The 22955-nt window shown below is 41.7% G+C and overlaps 1 pseudogene; it reads left to right on the top strand.

Moving 5' to 3' along the window:
• Positions 1 to 5897: 5897 nt before the first annotated feature.
• Positions 5898 to 6014, top strand: LOC124900456 (uncharacterized; annotated as a pseudogene).
• Positions 6015 to 22955: the final 16941 nt, after the last annotated feature.

Here is a 22955-nt window from a genome sequence, read left to right as displayed (position 1 = left end):
TGATCTTTGCTGGTTTAAAGTCTGTTTTATCAGAGACTAGGATTGCAACCCCTGCCTTTTTTTGTTTTCCATTTGCTTGGTAGATCTTCCTCCATCCTTTTATTTTGAGCCTATGTGTGTCTCTGCACGTGAGATGGGTTTCCTGAATACAGCACACTGATGGGTCTTGACTCTTTATCCAGTTTGCCAGTCTGTGTCTTTTAATTGGAGCATTTAGTCCATTTACATTTAAAGTTAATATTGTTATGTGTGAATTTGATCCTGTCATTATGACGTTAGCTGGTGATTTTGCTCGTTAGTTGATGCAGTTTCCTCCTAGTCTCGATGGTCTTTACATTTAATAACAACTTAATTTCAATAATAGGCAAAACTTTTGCTCTTATATAGCTCTGTTACTTCCTCTTTCTTTGTGCTATTACCACACAAATTGCATCTTTATATAAGGCCCACTAATACAGATTTATAGTTATTGCTATATGCAGTTGTCTTTTAAATCAGATAGAAAAAGTTGTAAATAAAAATACATTTATACTGATTTTATATAACCTATGCAGTTACCTTTACTGGTGATCTATATTTCTTCATGTGGATTTGAGTTATCCTTTAGTGTCCTTTCATTTCAGTCTGAAGGATTCCCTTTATTACTTCTTGTAGGCCAGTCTGTTAGTGATGAATTCTTTCAGGTTTTATTTATCTGAGAGTGTCCTGGTCTATCCTTCATTTTTAAATTGTTCCCCAAAATCGGCAGAATAATGGGAACTATTTAGAAATAGTTTTACTAGATATAAAATTCCTTGTTGATAATTTTTTTTTTCAGCACGTTGAATATGTCATCACACTGTCTTCAGGCCTCCGAAGTTTCTAATGAGAAACCAGCCATTAATCCTTCTGCCTTCCAGATGATCTGTCTTTGTATTTCAACAGTTTGGTAATGATGTGTCTAGGTGTGGATTTTTTTGAGTTTATCCTACTCAGAATTCAGCTTTCTGGATATTTAATTGTTTTCATTAAATTTGGGAAGTTTTAGGGTGTTCTTTCTTGAAATATTCTTTCTCTTATTTTCTCTCTTCTCTCCTTCTGAGATTCCCATTACATGTATTTTGCTATGCTTGATAATCTCTTATGGGAATCTGAACTTCTGTTCATTTTTCTTCATTCTTTTTCCTTTTTGTTCTTCATATTGGATAATCTCAATTGCTCCATCTTCAAGTTTGCTGATTTTTTCTTTTTCTTTTCAACAATTTTATCCCATCTGCCACAGCTGATTTTCTTTTACCATAACAAATCTGCTATTGAGCCCCTGTTGTGAAATTTTTCATTTCAGCTATTATGTTTTTCAACTCCAAAATGTATATTTTTATAATTTCTATATCTTTATTGATATTCTCTATTTGGTGAGACATTGTTCTCATACTTTGCTTTAGTTATCTAGACATGGTGTCCTATAGTTCTTTGAACATATTTTAAATAGATGGTTTCAAGTATTTGTCTATTAAGTCCAACATCTGGGCTCCCTCAGAGACAATTTCTATTCATTGCTTTTTTCCCCGTATATGAGTTATATGTTCTTGTATCTTTTCATGGCTCATATTTTTTTAGTCAGAAACTGGAGATTTAAAATAATAAATGTGGCAACTGTGAAAATCAGATCCTCCCTCCCCCAGGGTTGGTTACTGTTGTTACTCTTAGTTTGTTTAGTAACTTTTTCAGTAAAGTCTATATTCTTATTTATGCATGGCCAATAAAGTTTCTGCTCAGTTAGTTTAATGGTCAGCTTATGATTGAACAGAGATTCCCTTAAATGCCTGGAACCAATAAGTCTCCCAGCTTTTGCTGAGGGGCTGTGTGTGTGTGGCAGGACATGCCTTTGACACTCAGGCAGGCAGTTGCCAATTCTGCTTTATCTTTCCTGGGACCCAAAGGTTAGTCAGAGGTAAGAGCTTAGGGCCTTCTCAGGTCTTTCCTGAGCAGTAACAGCCTGGAGGTATACACATCTTACACATGCATGGCTGTCTAGATTCCAGGGAATATGCTGAAGCTTTTCAGAGCCCCCCATGAATATCTTCTTCCCAGTCTCTCCTTTTAAATTTTTAAATGAACTTCTTGTTTGCTCCTAAGGTCAATGCTCCCTCAGTCAGCTGCAGTGTTAAACAATTACAACTGATTGTTTTTGAGCAAGCCTGGAGTCAGGTCAAATAAAAGCTATCCCTATGAGGGGGGGTTTCACTGAACTTCTAGACAGGTCAAATAGTGACAACTCTTTTAGAATGGGGGCTTTTGGGGAGTTGCAATCTGTTCTACCTCCTCCAGGGTCTGATTGATTGCTGACTTTCACTTTGATTGCCAAATTGTTGGTTTTCAAGGCTACTGCAGAGCTGGGATGAGGGAGGAGGGAGAGAATAGGGCAAGTCAAAATACCACAAAGCTCACTGCCTTTATGGGTATTCAGCCATTTTTCTTGAATAAATACTCCGAGAATTGTTGCAAGCCTATTATTAATTTTCAGAGTTCTGAAAAAGTTGATTTCGAAAATTTTTTCCAGTGGTCTCATTGCTATTGAAAAGCAGCATTTTGGATGTCCTTCTCTGCCATTCCTGCTGACATCACCATTCTTTTTTTTTTTTTCATTCAATAATTCATCTTAGAAAACATTGTACATATTCTTTCCCTGCCCCATCTATCACTTTTATTTATTTTAGTGGGTGAATGTATTGCAATATAATTGCTTTTCAATCCACACTTACTCCCCAGGCACCTAACCATTGTTGAAGCCTTTGTACTAGACATTGTGAGGCTGTGTCCAACACAGCTACCCTCTAGGAGCTTCTGGACACATGGAGAAGACAAAGAACACACAGGAGAATTAACTTGCCAAGGCAGCATGCTGAGAGTACTTTTGGAGTTTGGACAATGTTAAATGGACTCACCTTGATTATGAGTTCCAGGTCTGTCAAGACACACTTCTTTAATGGTTGAAAAGACAGGGTGGCATGTACACTCTGTCCTACATCCACAGTGCTGTCGATGGGTGAAAATTCCAAGTACTGCAGCAAGGTTTTGGAGCCACACAGCTGTGCCTGGAAGCTGAAGGTGAACTTTCCAGTGTTGATAAAGTTGAATTCACACTGGACACATTCATTTAACTCCACCTAGGAGACAGAGAACAGAGCAGTGAATGCAAACCATAGTTCCCTTGTCTGGGGTCAGCATTTGTAACATGTTGATGAAAAATATCCTTTGGGAAATAAGGATGGCAGATGATGTTGGTGATTTGACTATCTTTAGCTTAATGGAGTCAGATATTCCAGCAGGAGCTACTAAGTATTGGGGTTCTTTCAATATCTCATGGAGCAAAGTGGCAATTTAGTTCTTAGTCCTTTGTTGGTAGTCAAATATCCTTCCTGTATGTTTAACACAAGCACTCTTTCTTCTCCCCACCATCTCTCCACCCCCCCTGAAAATAAAATAAGAAAAGCATTCACATCATATCTACATACATTCTGGGGATAGAGCTGCTCTTGGAGTGTTTCTGTTTTCCTGGTCTCTCTGGCATTTGAAGCAGAAAGACTCAGCTCATATTCATTTTTACTACTTTCCCCAGTCAGAATGGAAGCTGAGATAGATAGCAAGGTCTTCTTACACCTTTACCTCATAGAAGTTGATGATGTTAGTCTGGTTGGGAGTCAACAGAGTGATGGAGCCTGTCCTGTCCTTGCACTTGATCTCCACATTCATAGTGTAGCCCTCGGCCTTGACATTTAATGTCACAGGGTGGACTTTCTTTTCCACATTGCAGATCAAATTAAAGTTCACATCTCCTTGCTGCTTTGGAGTGAAGAAAATATCAATTGGGAACCTGGTTGGGGAACAAAACAGCAGATTACCTGACTAGGCCAACTTGTCAAAACCTTAAAAAATATGAGCCTACTGAATTAGCAGATTCATTACGAGGAAAAGGAAACTCCAAATTATGATGACATTTTAAGATTTGTGGCTATAGTAACCAAAACAGCGTGGTACTGGCATAAAAACAGACACACAGACTAATGGAAAAAGATAGAGATCCCAGAAATAAAGTCACACACCTACAATCATCTGATCTTTGAAAAAGTCAACAAAAATAAGCAATGAGGAAAGGATTCCCTATTCAATAAATGATGCTGGGATAGCTGGCTAGCCATAAGCCAGAAGAATAAAATAAGACCCTTACTTTTCACCATATACAAATATTAACTCAAGATGGATCAAAGATTTAAATGTAAGACCTCAAACTATACGAAAACTAGAAGAAAACGTAGAAAACACCATTGTAGACATCAGCCTTGGGAAAGAATTTATGAATGAGTCTTCAAAAGCACTTGCAATAAAAACAAAAATCGACAAGTGGGACCCAATCAATCCTGCAAAAAAAAAAAAAAAAAAAAAAAGAGTAAGAAAGGAAAAAAGCTGCTGCATAGCAAAAGAAACTACAAACAGAGAAAAAATGCAACCTACAGAATGGGAGGAATTATTCAGAAACTATGCATCTGACACAGGTCTAATATCCAGAATCTCTAAAGAACTTAAACAATTGAAGAAGCAAAAAACAAGTAACGCCATTAAAAAATGGGCAAAAGACATGAATAGACACTTCTCAAAAGGAAACAGAAAAGTGGCCAACAAACATATAAAGAAATGCTTCACATTACTAATCATCAGAGAAATGCAAGTCAAAACCACAATGAGATAACATCTCACACCAGTCAGAATGGCTATGATTAAGAAATAAAAAACAACAGATCCTGGCGAGGCTGCAGAGAAAAGGGAACACTTATACACTATTGGTGGGAATGTAAACTCGTTCTGCCACTGTGGAAAGCAGTTTGGAGATTTCTCTAAGAACTTAAAACAGAACTATCATTCAACACAGCAATCTCTTTACAAAAAACAAAGCAATCTCATAAAAAACAAAACAAAACAAAACAAAAAAGCCAAAAAACCCAAAGTCATTCTACCAAAAAGACAACATGCACTCTCATGTTCATTGCAGCACTATTCACAATAGCAAAGACATGGAATCAATCTAGGTGCCTATCAACTGTAGACTGGATAAAGAAAGTGTGGTACATATACACCGTAGAATACTACACAGCCACAAAAAGAATGAGGTAATTCTTTGCTGCAACATGGATGCAGCTGGAGGCCATTATCCTAAGCAAATTAATGCAGGAACAGAAAGTGAAATACCTCATGTTCTTATTTATAAGTTGCAGCTAAACATCAGGTACACATGGACGTAAAGATGGCAACAAAAGAAGCTGGGGATTACTAGGGGGAGGGGAGGAAGGGAGGCAAGAGTTGAAAAACTAACGATTGGGTACTAAGCTCAGTACCTGGGTGATGGGACCATGTGTACCCCAAACCTATACAGTAAATCCAGTAGCAAACCTGCATGCATATCCCTTGAAACTAAAATAAAAGTTGAAAAAACCCCACAAAACTTTGACGTAAATCTCATACCTTATAAGTTAATAAAAAAGGGGTTACAGACTGAAATGTAAAGCTACACAACTTACGGAAAAAATAATGGAAGGACATTTTCTGAATCTAGGGCTATTCAGAGATATAGAACAGACACTAAAAGGACAGTCCATAAAAGGACAAATAGATAATTTGGACTTCATCAAGAATAAAAGGTTTTGCTCTGTGAATGACCTTGTTAAGAAGAGCAAAAGACAAGCCACAGACTGGGAGAAGATATTTGCAGATCATGTATCCACCAAAGGAGCACTACCTAAACATGTAAAGAACTCTCAAAAATCAACAATAAAAAACAAACAGGCTGAGCAGGAAACTGGAAAGAGACATGAAGAGACATTTCACTGAGGAGGATCCATAGAAGGAAAACAAGCACATATGTGTTGTATGAAAGGAGAGAAGGTTAGCATTTCCCTTGACAATGACGGAAGAGGCCCTCAGGCCTGACAACACACATACAGAAAATAAGCACATGTAAAGATGTCCGACATTATTAGTCATTAGGAAAATGCTAATTAAAACTACAATGAGATATCCTTACACATCTATCAGAAAAGCTAAAATAAAAAATTGTTGCCGGTTGCAGTGGCTCATTCCTGTAATCCCAGCACTTTGGGAAGCCAAGGCGGGTGGATCACTTGAGGTCAGGAGCTCGAGACCAGCCTGGCCAACATGGTGAAACCCCATCTCTACTAAAAAAAAAAAAAAAAAAAAATTAGCCGGGCATAGTGGTGCGTGCCTGTAGCCCTAGCCACTCGGGAGGCTGAGGCAAGAGAATTGCTTGAACCTGGGAGGCGGGGGTTGCAGTGAGCCAAGATCACACCACTGCACTCCAGCCTGGGCAACAGAGCGAGACTCTGTCTAAAAATAGTAATAAAAAAATTGTGACACCACTAAATTTTGGTGATGTTGTGGAGATTCTGGAACATTCAGAGATAACTAGTGGAATGTAAAATGGTTCAGCCAGTCTGGAAAGCATTTTCACAGTTTTTTTTCTTTTTTTTTCTGGAAACATGCCATTATCGTATGTCCATTAATTGCACTCTTGCTCATTTTCCCCAGTGACATGAAGACACAAAAAATCTGTACATGAAAGTTTATAGTAGCTTTATTCATAACAGCCCAAACCAGGAACAATCCAGATGTCCTCCAGTGGGTGAATAGTTCAACTAACTGTGGTGCATCCCTACTATGGAATGGTAGCCAGTCATAAAAAGGAAGAAACTCTCAAAACTACCTGGATGTATGTTGGAGAATTATGAGTGAAAAAAGCCAATCACAAAAGGAATGTATGTGTCTGTGAATACAACATTCCTGAAATGACAAAATGATAGACACAGAGGAAAGTATTGGATTCCAGAGGGTGAGGAGGTGTTGCTTGGGGGAAGGGAAAGGGTGTGGCAACAAAAGGGTCACATGAGGAATCCTGCGGCAAGGGATCTGTTCTGTGTCTTGACTCGTCAATGTCAATACCAGGTTGTGACATTTTACTGAAGCTTTGCAAGATGTCACCCTTGGGAGAAATTTGGTAAACAGTACAGAGTTATCTTTGTCTTATTTCTTCTTCTTTCTTTCTTTCTTTTTTTTTTTTTTTTGAGACAAAGTCTTGCTCTGGAGTTCAGTGAGGTAATCTTGGCTCACTGCAACCTCTGCCTCCCGGGTTCAAGCGATTCTCCTGCCTCAGCCTCCCAAGTAGCTGGGATTACAGGAATGTGCCACTACGCCTGGCTAACGTTTGTAGTTTTAGTAGAGACGGAGTTTCACCATGTTGGCCAGGCTAGTCTCGAACTCCTGACCTCAGGTGATCCACCCGCCTTGACCTCCCAAAGTGCTGGGATTACAGGTGTAAGCCACCATGCCCGGCAGTCTTTCTATTATTTCTTACAACTACATGTAAATTTACAATTACTTCAAATTTTTAAATTTTATTATTAGTTTTTGAGAGAGTCTCACTCCATTGTCCAAGCTGGAGTGCAGTGGTGCAATCTCAGCTCACTGCAACCTCTGCCTCCTGGGTTCAAGTGATTCTCATGCCTCAGCCTCCCAAGTAGCTGGGATTACAGGTGTGTGCCACCACACCCGGCTAATTATTGTATTTATTTATTAATTTTTTTTTTGAGAGGGAGTTTCGCTCTTGTCACCCTGGCCAGAGTGCAGTGGTGCGATCTCAGCTCATTGCAACCTATGTCTCCCAGGTTCAAGCGATTCTGCTGCCTCAGTCTCTCGAGTAGCTGGGATTACAGGCGCCCGCCAACACGCCTGGCTAATTTTGGTATTTTTAGTAGAGACGGGGTTTCACCATGTTGGCCAGGCTGGTCTGGAACTCCTGACCTCAAATGATCTGCCTGCCGCAGCCTTAATTATTGTACTTTTAATAGAGATTGGGTTTTGCCATGTTGGCCAGGCTGGTCTCAAACTCCTGACCTCAAGTGATTCGCCTGCCTCAGCCTCCCAAAGTGCTGGGATTATAGGCATGAGCCACCATGCCTGGCCTGAAAATTAAATGTTTAATTGAAAAAGAGACTTGCCAGGCAAGCCTGAACATTGCACTGTGGATTCACATATACAGTGAATATAGCAAGGAAAAGAATACAAAGAGAAAATATTGAGATAAAGGGCTTAGAATTCTCAATGCTCCATATTCATCAGGAAAACAGATATCAGGGAGTAAGTAGGATGGAGATGGAATTGTTATGATCTAATCTTAGAGTTGAAAGCAATTATATAAATGGGGCACTGTAAGCACTGGCAGGCTTGGGGTCCTGGGCATGTCAGGAGGATGCAAACAAAATGAGACCTTCATTTTTGTTTACCTGGACAGTGGTGGGATCCAGCCTTCCATGGGACATACAAGCAGGCTGTTGCTGAAACCTTCAGAATAGCGGGAGTTGTCCTGGAAGGAAAAATCGAACCCCTGCTCCTCCTTGTTGATGATCTGCACAGTCTCCCTGGCTTCTCTGCCTGAGGAGGAAACACCAGCCCTTAGTGGGGGCCTCCTGACTGCCTGCTGGAGTCTCTCAGCAGACACCGCTTCACAGGCAAGACATTTAGAAGACATTCCCCAACCTCTTCCGCCTTTGTCTACCTCTCTTCTTTCCTTTTCCTCTACAAGTCACCTTCCTTCTTTCGGGAATTCCATGTCTTTCTTCATCAGTTGCCTGCTTCTGCTGAGTGGCTCCTCTGCCCTGGCCACAGCTCTCCTGGGATTCTGGTGACACCGTTTTCTTCCCTTGCTCCTTTAGACCCAAGAATTGTAATGCCTTCCTGAATTTGTTAATGGGGGCTTCACTCTCCTTGGTTGACCCCCTTAACTGCCCATGTATCTGTAAATAATTCTTGCATCGAATTCTTTGAAAATAGACCTTTGGTATTGGCATGAGTTTCCTGCCCAGGGCTCTGACTAATACATTTTCTCTCACTATCATCTTACGCTTTCCTCTTGGCTATTAGACCATTCATTTTTCCACATAAACTTTAGAATCATTTTATCCAGTTCTCTCCCCTTCCAATTCTTTTGGGATTTGGTTGACAGATTTAGCAAATAATTTTTTGGTATAAATATGTCCCGAGCAATATTTGGACTTACTCAGAATTATTAATTGCTATTTGAAATTAAAATTTATGCATCCTGTATTTTATCTGGCAACCCTAGTTGGGATTCTAATTGGAACTTGATTAAATTTGCATTTAATTTTAGGAGAACTAACAAATGATCAGATCTTGTTTGGGGGATTTTAATCAGATTTGATAGTTTTCTTCATGTAGGTCTTTTTTGTGCATGTCTTATTACATTTATCCTTAGCTATTTTATAGGTTTTGCCAGTACCAAGTGGATGTTTTCTTTGGTTTTCTGTTTCTAGGTGCTAGTGCTAAAAAAGAAGACACTATTTTTGCACATTTGTCTTGCATCTGCCCACCTTACCACATTATTCTGTTGAGTCTAGTAGTTTGTTTTGCTTTTTCTCTAGAGTCTCTTGTGGTTTTATGTGTACAAAATCATCAGTAAAAGCAAAACAAGATGACTTTATCCCTTTTTCCCCAATGTTTATGCAAATTATTTAATTTTCTTGTTTTGTCATATTTGCTAAAGTCTCTAAGCAAGTGTTCAATAATAAGGGTGATAATGAACACCCTTACCTAATTCCTCATTTTAATTGAAGCAGTTTTAGTCATTTATTGCAGGATCATATCTGCCTCTTGATTTTGGTTAACCTTTTTTTCCATCAATGTCCATTTTGCTATTAGAGTTTTTGTTGGGAATGTCTGCTAAATTTTGGCAATGCCTTTTCAGTGTATATTAACATGATCACATGGTTGTTCTTCTTTAATCTATTGATGTAATGATTATATTCAAACGTACCACTGTTGAATTCCTGGATTAAACTCTGTCTCACTGTTGTTATTCTTATGCTACATTGCTTATTTGTTCAAAATCTTAATAAATGCCATAATTCCCCCTCCCACCTAATTATATGTATCGGTAAAAATACACATCCAGCAGTTAACACTGCTTTCCTTTGGAGTGGAAAGAGAAAGATGAGACAGGATGAATGTGGAGAGATTAAACTTTTTCTTATGCAACACCACATTGGTGGATTTACTATAAGAATATTATTTTACAAATACAAATCTAACATATTATTAAAACATACTCTGGCTTTAGTTGTATTTTATACACACAGCAGAGATGTCACAACCATGGGAAAGATACATGGGGTTATAAGGGACATGACAATTACTTCGTTTCACCTTCCCACTGCCTCCTGGCCTTCCTTATTCTCCCTACCCTGCTGTCCTCTTCTCTAAAGCACTTATTACCATCTGACATGGTGTATAGTTTCCTTATGTTTCTTTTGGTAGCCTGTTTCTTATTTCTAGAATGTAAGCATCAGGAAGGTACGGACTTTGGGCTTTATCCATTAGCGTAATCCCAGCCCATAGAAAAGTACCGAGGGCATTCTACAGACTCAGTGATATTTGTTGAACCAAATAAATGCACGAAAGGATGAGAGAGAAATCTGACCACTGTGGCACAGACCAAGAAGCATACAGATACCCCCCATAATCTGGGGGCAAATGCAGGAAGGATGGGCCAACTTGAGGCTCTAGAAATAAACAGTCAGCCCATGCCTTAAAGGAATCTGCCAAGTAGGATCTTTAACAAGGCTCCTAAATTTCCTTAAGCTATTAATTGTAGGTTTAAAAGATACTTGGTGGAAATTAGATTGAGCAGTAAATATTTTGTGGCTTTTTAAAAACTGATTAAGACCCTCTGATATGCTTCTGGAAGGGACCAGGAGAGGTTTCTTATGCAAGGCTGCTCCCAGAGCTCTTGATGACCTTGCCCAGATCATGCCAACTCTAAATACATACCATCAGGACAGCCTTACCAATGAGGAGAGAGCTGAAGTTGAGGTGTGACTTGTTCAGAGAGATGAGAGGTTCGGTAGTTTTGCCTACCAGCAGGAAAGGGACTGTGATGTTGTGCTCGGGAATTAGGAAGGTCCATGATGACTCAGTGATGCCCAGATGGAAAGGTGTGAACTGGAACACGATCTAAGAAGACAATTTGGAACAGAGTGGTAAAAGACACTTCTGTATGCTTACTCCACATGTCCCTGGAGACTTGTCAGCACGAGGGTCATGAGAGTTGATGTTACCAGGCTATTGCTACCTTTCTATAGTCCATGTAAGGGCATGTAGGTGTGGCTGTACCAGAAACGTCAATGTCTATCTGACCTGCCCACATGTCCTCCTAAGGGAGTCTCCCCCATCCACAGCTTCTGCTGGCTAAGCTGTCGTGTTTTGTGCCATGTCTTTGGATGGCATGGCTGTGCCATAGCTGACTGGACCAAAGAGTTGGTACCCATTCCAAGGAAAGACAATCCCCATACTTGTCAATAGCTGGGCACACAGCCAAAGACAATATGATTAGCCGGGCCAGCCAGATTTCTCCCTCAGAAGTTTGAAATTAGAAAATGAGTGGCCAGGCCAGCTGGCAGTGGAGCTGATGGTGAAAGGTACCATGCAGGTGAGCTGGGCCACGGCATGCCATAACCAACTAGCTAAGTGATATTACAAAGTAACTGAAGAATAAATCAATCAATCAAGAGTGAAGAAACTGGTCAGTGGAGAGAGAATGGAGTAGATGGGAAGAGAGAAACAGGCAGTCCCAGGAGGAAAGTCCAACCTCAAAAGCTGCTCCTGGTTCTCTCTGTCTCTTTTTTGAGCTAACCTGAGTGAGTCTCTTTGCAATCAATCAACCAGGACTGAATGAAAGAATAACGGCATTTGGCCAAAAAAGAACCACACAGGTTAACATGCATGGTCTATACCACTGCCAGGACAATGTGGGCAGGTGCTCTGGAGGTGTGTCACCTCAATGATATGACTGTCACTTAAAGACCAGCATGACTTTGGATGATGGATTTTGGAACTTGCCTCTTGGAACTGAGCTCACATTTGAAACATTTCTGGGCTGAAGCGGGGGCCATGATCCAGGTAGGATTGTCTCTATGGTGGACCCAGCTCCTGGACCTTGTCACATTTAACTAGATGGCCTGGGTACTGACATTATGCAGAGGTCAAAACCAGGTGGAGAGTCTACAAATATGTTTTGTTTGGTTTGGGAATTGTTAAAAAAAAAAAAAATTGAACTAGCTACCAGCATGTAAAATAGGGCTTCACATAGAACTTTGGAATTTTGGTCAGGCGCAGTGGCTCACACCTGTAATCCCAGCACTTTGGGAGGCCGAGACGGGCAGATCACGAGGTCAGGAGATTGAGACCATCCTGGCTAACACGGTGAAACACTGTCTCTACTAAAAATACAAAAAATTAGCTGGGCGTGGTGGCGGGCGCTTGTAGTCCCAGCTACTCGGAAGGCTGAGTCAGGAGAATAGCGTGAACCCAGGAGGCGGAGCATGTAGTGAGCCGAGATCGCGCCACTGCACTCCAGCCTGGGGGACAGAGCAAGACTCTGTCTCAAAAACAAAAACAAAAAAAAGAAATTTGGAATTTTGTCTTTTCCACAGTTTGGGTGAGTTGGCCCCCTTGGCCCCCGTTGTCTGCAAAGTGGTCATCTACCAGAGAAGCCCTGTGGCCAGTGGCCCTGGTACCCCGTATTATCCACAAATGTCTCCTTGGCCCACTCTATTCACTTGTGTGACCCTCCTGAGGGCACAGGAATTCATAATTTTTGTTTCACGGATTTATTTCTGTCTTCAAGATTCTCTGCAACTGGCTGGACATGGGGCTCACAGATCCGTTTTGGCCAGCAAGTCTGTATTTCTTTAATTCTGCTCCATATCATTTGTGTAAACATTTAGGATGAAGCCATGGGACATGGCTCCACTCTACTTTGCCCTTTGCCTAACCAAGTGAAAACACATCGTGTCCTTTCACCATTTTTGGTCCTTTTGACAAAGATAACTTTTTATGCTACTCTATGAGTCCTAGGGTCCCCAGGCATTGGTGTCCAGTTACCTTTTGCTGCTTAAATGTTCTCAGTTTTAAAAAATTGCAAGTATTAGAGCTCTCTGCTTCTCCATGGCTAGCCAAGAGAGCTCAGGTCTGTCTTGTCATCAGCATTGCCCAATGCATATGGCAGCCATTCACTAAATACTTGTTGATTGATGCACTACACCCTCAGGCAGTTCTTCCTAATTCCACTTACTGTCTATGGCACACTTTCTACACAGCAATGGCTAGAGTGATCTAAGCCTTGGGTTGAGTGGTTCTCATCTGCACATACCTCGGCTTTCTTTTCAGGGTGGATGAAGCCCTTTTCTGTAAGGCATGTGAATGCTGCAGGGTTCTGGAGACTTTCAATTTCTTCAGAGATCCAGCAGAAGGAGTAGGTGCTATTGGCTGGGTTTAGGATGGTAAAGGTCCTGGCCAGGGTGGGGAGAATTGACAGAAGAGAGTGGGACAGGGGATTGAGGATTAAGAGAAATTTCTTAGAACCTGGCCCCAACGCAGTCCCCCATCTGGGAAGCAGAACTGTTCAGAGCACTTTGTTACTGTGGAAATGAAAACTCCATCTCCTCTAGCGATCCACAGTCAGGGTAGGGTTCTGGACTTTGGAATAACAATGCTGCCAAGGGCACAACTGTGCCAATGATCCTCTGTGGTTAAGGAGGTGGTCAGGGATTATACTTTTGTGTCTTCCATATTTTCCTCAGTGGCAAAACTAAGGAGACAGAATTCAGCTTTCTTAACGTAACAGTTCTCTAAAGTCAAACCTCTAAAACTCAGGTCAAACCCCAGGATATCGAGCCTGCTTATAGGAATAGGTCTAGCTCATCTATCTGAATTCTTTTAGAGTTCTTTAGGACCGATGTGAATTCAATCAATGTAAACCTAAGCAACTCACCGGAGATTCTTCCCTCCTATGCCCACAGTGGTGAACTCAATCACCCGGGTGTTTGGATCCAGAGCTCCCCCACTGGACCCTCGGAGCTCTGGGTTGCGCTGATGGCCACTTATGTAGTCCGAGTCTTTCAGATCAAAATGGCAGATGGGCAAGGTGCTCCGCCCTTTTGCTACCAGGACCGGACCTTGCTCTCCAGGTGGCAGGTTGGGAATCCTGAGAGGATAAGGTTATTTTTATTTGTTTTATTTTGTCATCAGTTGTTGCTTTCTTAGTTGGTTGGAAATGAATATTATATCCGCCAGAATGTGAGCTCTATGGGAGTAGAGGCTGGGTCTGTCTTGGTCAATAGCATCACTCAGTGCCTTGAATGCATGACTGGGCTGAGCATAAGCAGCCTGAATTTGGCTCCTTCTGTGTACCTAAGTATGGCCGCAGGTTACTTCCCCCATCAATGTTGAGAAAATATTCCTGCTGCAAAATGAGCACAGTCTTACCCTCTGGTCTCTCTCATAGGCATTTAGTGGAATATGGAAAGTGACCTGGAAATCCTAAAAAAGTATCCTGAGCTCCTCGGAAAAGGTGAACTGGATATGAGCAGATGCTCAGCTCCAGGACCAAGCTGAGGTGGCCTAGGTGTGGGAGGGGTCTCAGTGGTATGACTGCAGGAGGTCAAGGAGGCCCCAGCAGCTCACTTAGGTCTCTGCCACCCTAGGTCACAGCTCACAGGATTTTTCTGTAAGGTGATTGTACTTCTTCAAGTTTTCCTGGGAGCAAGTACCTCATCAGGGACTTTCATTGTCAGATGTCATTGGGTTAGCTTTTCTCTCACTGCTGTGTACCAGGTCCACCAACTCCACCACCACCACCACCACTACCACCTAATGTTTATCGTGCTTATTGTGTGCCAGGCACTGTTGTAAGCACTTTATTTGAATTAACTCATTTAACTTTCCCAACAATTCCACCAGCTGGGTATTATATTTACATTTTATGTATGAGGAAACTGTGTCTCAGAGAAGGTACAAGAAAGCTTTCCTAAGTTCATGCTTGCACAAGGACTGAAACCCACCTGGCTATCACCAGTCTGTTGCTCAGTGGAATCCTACATGCAGCTGGGAAGGGGAAAGTAAGCAGGGGGAAGCATCTGGAGAGGTTGATGAGCAGGACAAAGACCATATTCTCCTTGTTCTCTAAAGGGTGGACCCTTTAGATCCTTCCAAAGGGAAAAGGGATAATTTGGGGATGTGCAGGGATCTAGGGCCAGAAAGGATGGTGGCAGTGGTTGGACAGAAAAGGGGATAAGAGCCACAGAGCTTTGTGCCTGCCAAGAAGGGTGTTGTGGCGAGCACATTTTCTTACTGGCAGAAAAGGTTGCTCTCGAAGTCTCCAATGTCCAACGGGGAGAATTTTACTTTGAACTTCTGATCTTCCCCACCGGCACGATTCCCGAAGAGGGCTCCACAGAGAAGGGCTGTGGGGAACCCTCGGCCCAGTGGTCCATGGTGCTGTCCAGGGTGCTGCCTGTGTGCCTCGTGCCCTGACTAAGCTGATCTTTTTGAGCTGAACCTGGGGACAGACAGGGAGTGGGTGATATTCTGCATTTGCAGTGAGAGGCAGGTGGAAGGGAGCCCACTTACAGGTCCTTAGGGGCCCTCTGCGGATATGGTGGATATGGACTCACCTTTTGTAGCAGCTGTACTTAACCTTGGGTATTAGAGGTAGGGAATTGCTCATATAGCTTACAGGAGACTCATGAAAAATGTTTCTATTTATTCCATAGGGTTTTCAAATTTGTTTCCTTTTGGTTCAAGCGGGTGGGTCAAGAAGATGTTTGTGCCCTAGAATAATGGGCTGTGAACATATTTTTTTGAGAATCATTGTTCTAAAGTAGGGGTTTACAATCTGGGGACCCATGGATAAGGGCCCATTCAAAAGGTCTGTGCATCTCCAAAGTTGAAGTAACAACAATAATAATAATAATAATGATAGCAACTTGCCTACCAAGTGTTGGTTCCTTTTCTAGTGCTTCATATGTACCAACTGAGAACTTGGGCATGGGTGTGTATCTTCCTGGGAAAATGATTCATAACTTTCAAAAGTTTCTCCAAGGGATCTATAATCTCCCACAAGGTTAAGACCTAAGAGACAAGATTCCTAGTTATCTTGAGATGGGGCATTGGCCTGGTGCAGGGACAGAGTTCAGACTCCAGGAGGGTGGAGGTAAGTTTTGGAGTCCCTCAGGCCCATTTGGCTCTGCAGACACCACAAGGTCTCTGCTTTGCTTTTCTTTAGCTACTTAGGAGACCCTCTGAGCAGTGCTGGCCTCTCCATGAACAAGGCTCTTCTAATTGGTGACTCAGGCCAGGCCCTGGGTTTTACTTGTCACTGAATTTACCTTGGTGATCTGGTTTTGCAAAGCTGACTGCCTTTGAGGTATCTTCTGAGAGCCAGCTGAATTCCAGCTGGACACGTCCTGAATTAATCACATCGAACCTGCAAATCGATCAGGGAGCAGATTTGAGAAATGTGCTGCAGGTGGTTTTGGTCCTGGCTGCATGTCATCTATACTGTACTTAACCTTTTGAAGTCATGTCACTTTGTTTCTTAAATATTTTTAAAAAGGCACATTTTAAGTAATTTTATTAGAAATCATGCATATGATATACTCGAACAAGAAAATATATAGTGATTAAAAGTAAAAATATAAAAAATATTTAGCACTTAAAAGTCTTTTGCATTCTTCCAACACCCTGTGCAGCGAGCTCTCAGCAGGCATTGCAGTAATCCTAAACCTCCCCCATGAGAGAGGAAACAAAATCTATTTCACAAGACAGCACCTCCCTCAGGAACAAATTCTACAGGCCCTCCCTTTCTGAATCACCTCCCATCAGAAACAATGTCCCTGGCTGGGCAGGGTGGCTCACACCTGTAATCCCAGTACTTTGGGAGGCCAAGGCAGGCAGCTCACTTGAGGCCAAGAATTTGAGACCAGCCTGGCCAACATGGTGAAACCCCATCTCTACTAAAAATATAAAAATTAGCCAGGTGTGGTGGCACATGCCTGCAGTCCCAACTACTCAGCTACTCAGGAGGCTGAGGCACGAGAATCGTTTGAACCCAGGAGATGGAGGTTGCAGTGAGCTGAGATCATGCCACTGGGCCACAGAGCGAGACTCTGTCGAAAGAAAAGAAAAGAAAAGAAAGGAAGGAAGTCCCTGTGATCAGAAGCCATTTGACCCCTGCCTGTGACCCCTTTCCTGACTGAGGCACAGATTTGAATTTTAGTTACTTCAAACTCAAATTCTAAATCAGCAGAGGCTTTTCCTGCCTCAAATTTTCCTGCTTTAAGACAAGAACAGGGCTGGGTGCGGTGGCTCATGCCTGAAATCCCAGCACTTTGAGAGGCCAGGTCAGGTGGATCACCTGAGGTCAGGAGTTCGAGACCAGCTTGGCCAACATAGTGAAACCCTGTCTCTTCTAAAAATACAAAAATTAGCTTGGCGTGGTGGCGTGCACCTATAGTCCCAGCTACTCGGGAGGCTAAGGCAGGAGAATCACTTGAACCCAGAAGGTGGAGGTTGCAGTGAGCTGAGATCGCACCATTGCACTCCAGCCTGGGTGACAGAGCAAGACTCCGGCTCAAAAAAAAAAAAAAAAAAAAAAAAAAAAAAAAAAAAAAAAAAACAGGGAGGCAGAGTTTTTTTCTGGAATCACTATTAAACTTGATCACAGTTAACAGCAGAAAGATGAAACCTTGGTACAAGAAAAAGAAAATGATGATGAAATAAATCCACACGCCCTTCCTGGTTTTAGGGGAATAGTAAGAGTTAGGAGTTTGGGTGAGGAGTAGGTCTACAGTGGGACGTAGAGATTAGATTTCCACTCTCTAGTCCAGGTAGACAGACCATCTAGTTTCACCTGAAATCAAGTGCTTTGACCACAGTGGCTTGTGTTTATTTTGTAAATTTATGAGCACTTGTATTTATTCTAAAGATAATTTTTATAAAGTGAAGAAATCTCAGTGGCACAGAGTACTTTTTATAAAAAGAGTTCTCAGTTTAGGGGTTGGCAAACTTTTGTAAAGGGCCAGATAGTAAGTTTTTTGTCTTTGTGTCCCATACGGTCTCTGCAATGACTCAGCTCTGCCTTTGTAGTGGGAACGCAGCCACAGTTAGGTCATAAATGAATGGGCATAGCTGCATGCCGGCAAAACTTTATCTACAAAAACAGGCTACAGGCCACAGTTTGCTGACCCCTGCTTTAGGTGAAATGATCATCAGCAGAAGATCACATTTCCTGACATTTATCTTTTGGTTCTATAGTAATTTGCAAAGATGTTTAGAATTCAACAAATGCACGATGAGTTGAATGAGCTAATTACTAATTTGTATGCAGTAGAAATGTCAGTGGCTTACATTTTTGTCCTTGTACGTGTTGCACATGTTGCTCTCTCTGCCTAGAGAGAGCCCTTCATTCTCGCTTCTTCACTTGGCTATCCCCATTCTCACTTCTTTCACTCTCACTTTGTTCTCACTTCTTTACTTGGTTACCTCCTATCTGTCCTCTAAAGTTCAGCTGGGGAACTACCTTGTCCAGGAAGCCTTCCTTGACTCTCTTGATCTGCTTTAAATACCCCTTTGCTTCATGCACATGACATTATGCTGTAATGAAAAATTCTCCTGTTTCTATCTGTCCCCCGGCTGCCACCCTCAGATTATGAGCTCTTTGAAGGCAGGGCCCATGGCATCCTTGAGTCCCTGTGTCTGAATGTGGGTGAAGGGTTAACATAAACTTTTCTCCTTCTCAAAGATGAATTTGACTCTGAAATAGCTTTCTAGGTCTGTTCCCCTGGAGACTTGATAAGGGAGGAATGTCAGTTGTATTATTAGGTGACATTGTTTATACTAAAAATGGCCCCGATGAGTAAATGATATGTGCACTGGGAGGAACTATGACCACCTAGAGGGAAGCCATAGCTGTGGGGTTCTCTGAGTGTAGTGACTCTTGTAACTGGGCATATTCTCTGCAGGGACCCCAGAAGATATATCTGCAGAGTGGTTAGGAGAAATGGTGGTCTTTTGGGTCTGGGCTTCTAAGCTTAGATGGATCCTATACCCACCAGTGTGGATATTGTCTGGGTTACCACTTGGTGCATGGGCAAAAAGAACAGATCCTGGGTGGCTGTGTAGATTGCTGCAAGGACTGCTCCCACTAAAGTGGATTTCCTGATGCCGCCCTCCTGGTGTACTACATTTCCTGGCCTATATCTTGATTTCAAGTGTGAATTTCAATAGCTCTGTGGGCCTGAATGTTTCATTGGACCTAAGACAACACTCTGGTGCATGCCACACAGATACGATGCCTAGTAGATGCTGCTGTAGATAATAGACGTTTGATGAGTGAGTGAGTGAATGATGGAATGAAAGAGCTTTTCCATCTAGTGTCACGAGACTTTTGATGACTCACTCAAACACTCGGGTCTGGTAAACCAAGGTTTCCTTAAAGCGCACATCTCTTGCTTGGCAATGGTATGAAGCGAAATCCACATTGGCACTGATTTGAAGCTGCAGTTCTTGGTAGTTTTCTTCTAGTACTGAGTGAGCAGGTTCCGGATCCGTCTCTATCACCTGTAACAAAGGCAGCTGTGTCCTCAGAGATGCAGAGCACAGGGACAGAAAAACTGACAATGGAATAGAATAGAGAGACCAGAAACATTCTAGGCATATGTAAAATTTAGGTACACTATGTGACAATAAAGTCCTGGCAGATCACTAGGGAACAGACAGGCTAAATGAAAAAGGGATCTAGTAAGATTAGTCATCTAGATGAAAAATATGAAATTGGATCCTTGCTTCACAACATACATAAAATCCAGGCGGGCCAAGAGCTGAAATATCAAAAAAACAAGTCTTAAAAATATATAAGTGAACATCTTTCCGGGAGGAAAGAGTTAAAAATAAGACACAAAAAGTAATACATATAAAAGAAGGGATTAATAAACTTGATGATATTAAAATTAATAACAGAAAAGATAAACTAGGCCAGGCATGGTGGCTCACGCCCGTAATCCCAGCACTTTGGGAGGCCGAGGTGGGTGGATCACTTGAGGCTAGGAGTTTGAGACCAGCCTGGCCAACATGGTGAAACCCTGTCTCTGCTAAAAGTACAAAAATTAGCCGGGTGTGGTGGTGCATGTTTGTAATCCCAGCTACTTGGGAGGCTGGGGCATGAGACTCTCTTGAACCTAGGAGGCGGAGGTTGCAGTGAGCCGAGATTGTGTCACTGTATTCTGGCCTGGGCGAAAGAGCAAAACTCTGTCCTCCTCAAAAAAAAAAAAAAAAAGATAAACTATAAATTTGGTAAGGATATTTGCAGACAAATAATATGAACAGAAGAGTTTATAAAAAATAAAACAACTCACACAAAATATAAGTATCATAATTGAAAAATGAGCAAAAGGCATGAAAAGGCATTCCTGCAAGGGATAACTTGTATGACTAGTAATCATATGAAGAAATACTCAGCCTTATTTGTGATCAGAGATCAGGACAATGCAAAATAGGCTCATAATGAGACCATTTCCCATTCATTCAAATGATAAAAATCAAGAAGTCTGACAATGCCAAGTGTCGGAGAGGACATGGATCAATAAGCTCTCTGCTGTAGGAGTATAAATTGGTACAGCTACTCTGGAAAATACTGGGGGATTATCTTGGCAAGTTGAACATTCATATATCCAATGAGTCAGCAATTCCACTTCTAGGAATATAAACTCTTACAAATGAACACCATGTGAATAATACATCTGTGATAGCAAAACCCCAAATAATTTTCAAAAGGAGAAGGGAGAAATCATAATGGAATTTTATGTAGAAGTGAAATGGATACACTACAGCCACATGCAACAATATGGATGATCACATACAATAACATTTTTTAAAAGTTAAAACTACAACTAACAATATATGTTTTATTTTTATTTTTTGAGAAAGAGTCTCACACTGTGTATTCCAGGTTGGAGTACAGTGGTGCGATCACGGCCCACTGCAGCCTCGACCTCCCAGAGCTCAGATGATCCTCTCACCTCAGCCTCCTGAGTAGCTGGGACTATAGGCATGCACCATCACGCCCAGCTAATTTTTGGTAGAGATGGGATTTCACCATGTTGCCCAGGTTGGTCTCAAACTCCTGGGCTCAAGCAATCTGCCTGCCTCAGCCTCCCAAAGTTTTGGGATTACAGACATGAGCCACTGTGCCTGGCCTGATATACCTTTTAGTGTGCATAGGTTAAAAAAAGAACAAAAAACAAAAACCAAGGGAGTAAACAAGTCAAGTCAAGATAGTGATTACTTCTAGGATGGAGGCAGAGAGTGGAATGGCTGAGAATTACACAGGTAGTCAATATTCTACTTCCCGTGTTGGGTGTGGGTTTGTCTCTGTGTATTATATTGTTTTTAAAAAAACTAACCAAGGAATGAATAAAAGAAGGGCACACATGGACCAAAGATGAGATCCTGTCATGAACCAAAGATTATTACAAATGTGATTCTGGACACCTGAGGGAAAAGGGAAACAACTAAAAGATTAGCATTGACATTTTTGAAGAAGGAAAAGGTGGGAGGACTTGCTCAACTGCTTATCAAGACTTAAGCTAAAGGTCTACCAGTGAAGATGTGTGGTATGTGTAGCATTGATGGCAGGCAGCATGTGTAGAAGTTTAGTTTGTCACTTTTGGAATCAAGGTCAAGTAGAATGGGAACCTTTTCTTTTTACTGTGAAAAAAGGAAATGATGAGGGACTTGAGACCAGTAGGAATCCAAGCATGGAGGCCTGGTCAGATTGGTGCTTGATGTCCCCACTTACTTTTCGTTTTGTAGTGAAAGTCCCAGGCATGTTTCTGGGTACGTCCACCCACTTGACTGTGTGCATGCGGTCATCCCAGTCGGGGATCTGGTCTGTAGGGAGCTGAAACATAATCCTGGAGAGCTTGCACCTGATCCGCATATTCTTTAGGTTGATGGGTACATCTGACTTCATGGTCACCACTATGTCCTTGGCACACCCAGGGTGGAGATGGCCCATCTAGGAAAGAGCCTGGTATTAGTATTTTTGAGAATCCGATCTTGAGGACTCTTGATACCTGCTGGTGATATTCTAGAGAAGGGAAGGAGCCAAAGGTCTTGGCAAAAAATGCATGTTAAGCCTGTGTATGTAGACAGAATTAAATATGTACATGAGGATCTTAGGTAGAAACATAATAATAATAACAAGAACAACTAATATTTATCAAATGTACTTGCTTCAGGCACTATTCTAAACCTTTACACAATTCTACGAATCCCTACAACAACCCTATGAGGGGTACAGCTATTATTCTTATTTTACAGACAATGAAACTTGTAACTTGGTTGAGGTCATTAATTTTTGAGGAGTTGGATTCAGACCCAGGCAATCTGGCTCCAAATGCCATACTCTTAATCAATATGATCTATACAAATTATGGACAGAGGAATACAGTACACTAGCAGTTCTCCAAAGGTGTTCTGGTGACCTTGGGATCCCCAAGACCTTTTCAGGGGATAAATGAGGTCAAGACTATTTTCATAGTAATATGAAGATGTTATTTGACTTTTTCACTCTCATTTTCTCATAAGTGTACAATGGAGTTTTCTAGAGGTTATGTGATATATGGTGATATGGTCTGGCTGTGTCTCCACCCAAATCTCATCTTGAATTGTAGACCCTATAATCCCCACATGTTGTGGGAGGGACCTGGTGGGAGATAATTGAATCATGGGGGCAGTTTTCCCCACACTGTTCTTGTGGTAGTGAATAAGTCTCACAAAATCTGATGGTTTTATAAGGGGTTTCCCCTTTTGCTTGACTCTCATTTTTCTCTCTTGTCTGCTACCATGTAAAATGTGCCTTTTGCCTTCTGCCATGATTGTGAGGCATCCCCAGCTATGTGGAACTGTGAGTCCATTAGCCTCTTTATAAATTACCCAGTCTCGGGTATGTCTTTATCAGCAACGTGAAAATGAACAAATATAGTAAATTGGTACTG

Source organism: Homo sapiens, chromosome 1 (assembly GCF_000001405.40).
Source record: "Homo sapiens chromosome 1, GRCh38.p14 Primary Assembly".
NCBI lineage: Eukaryota > Metazoa > Chordata > Mammalia > Primates > Hominidae > Homo > Homo sapiens.
This window is presented reverse-complemented; position numbering and strand designations above follow the sequence as displayed.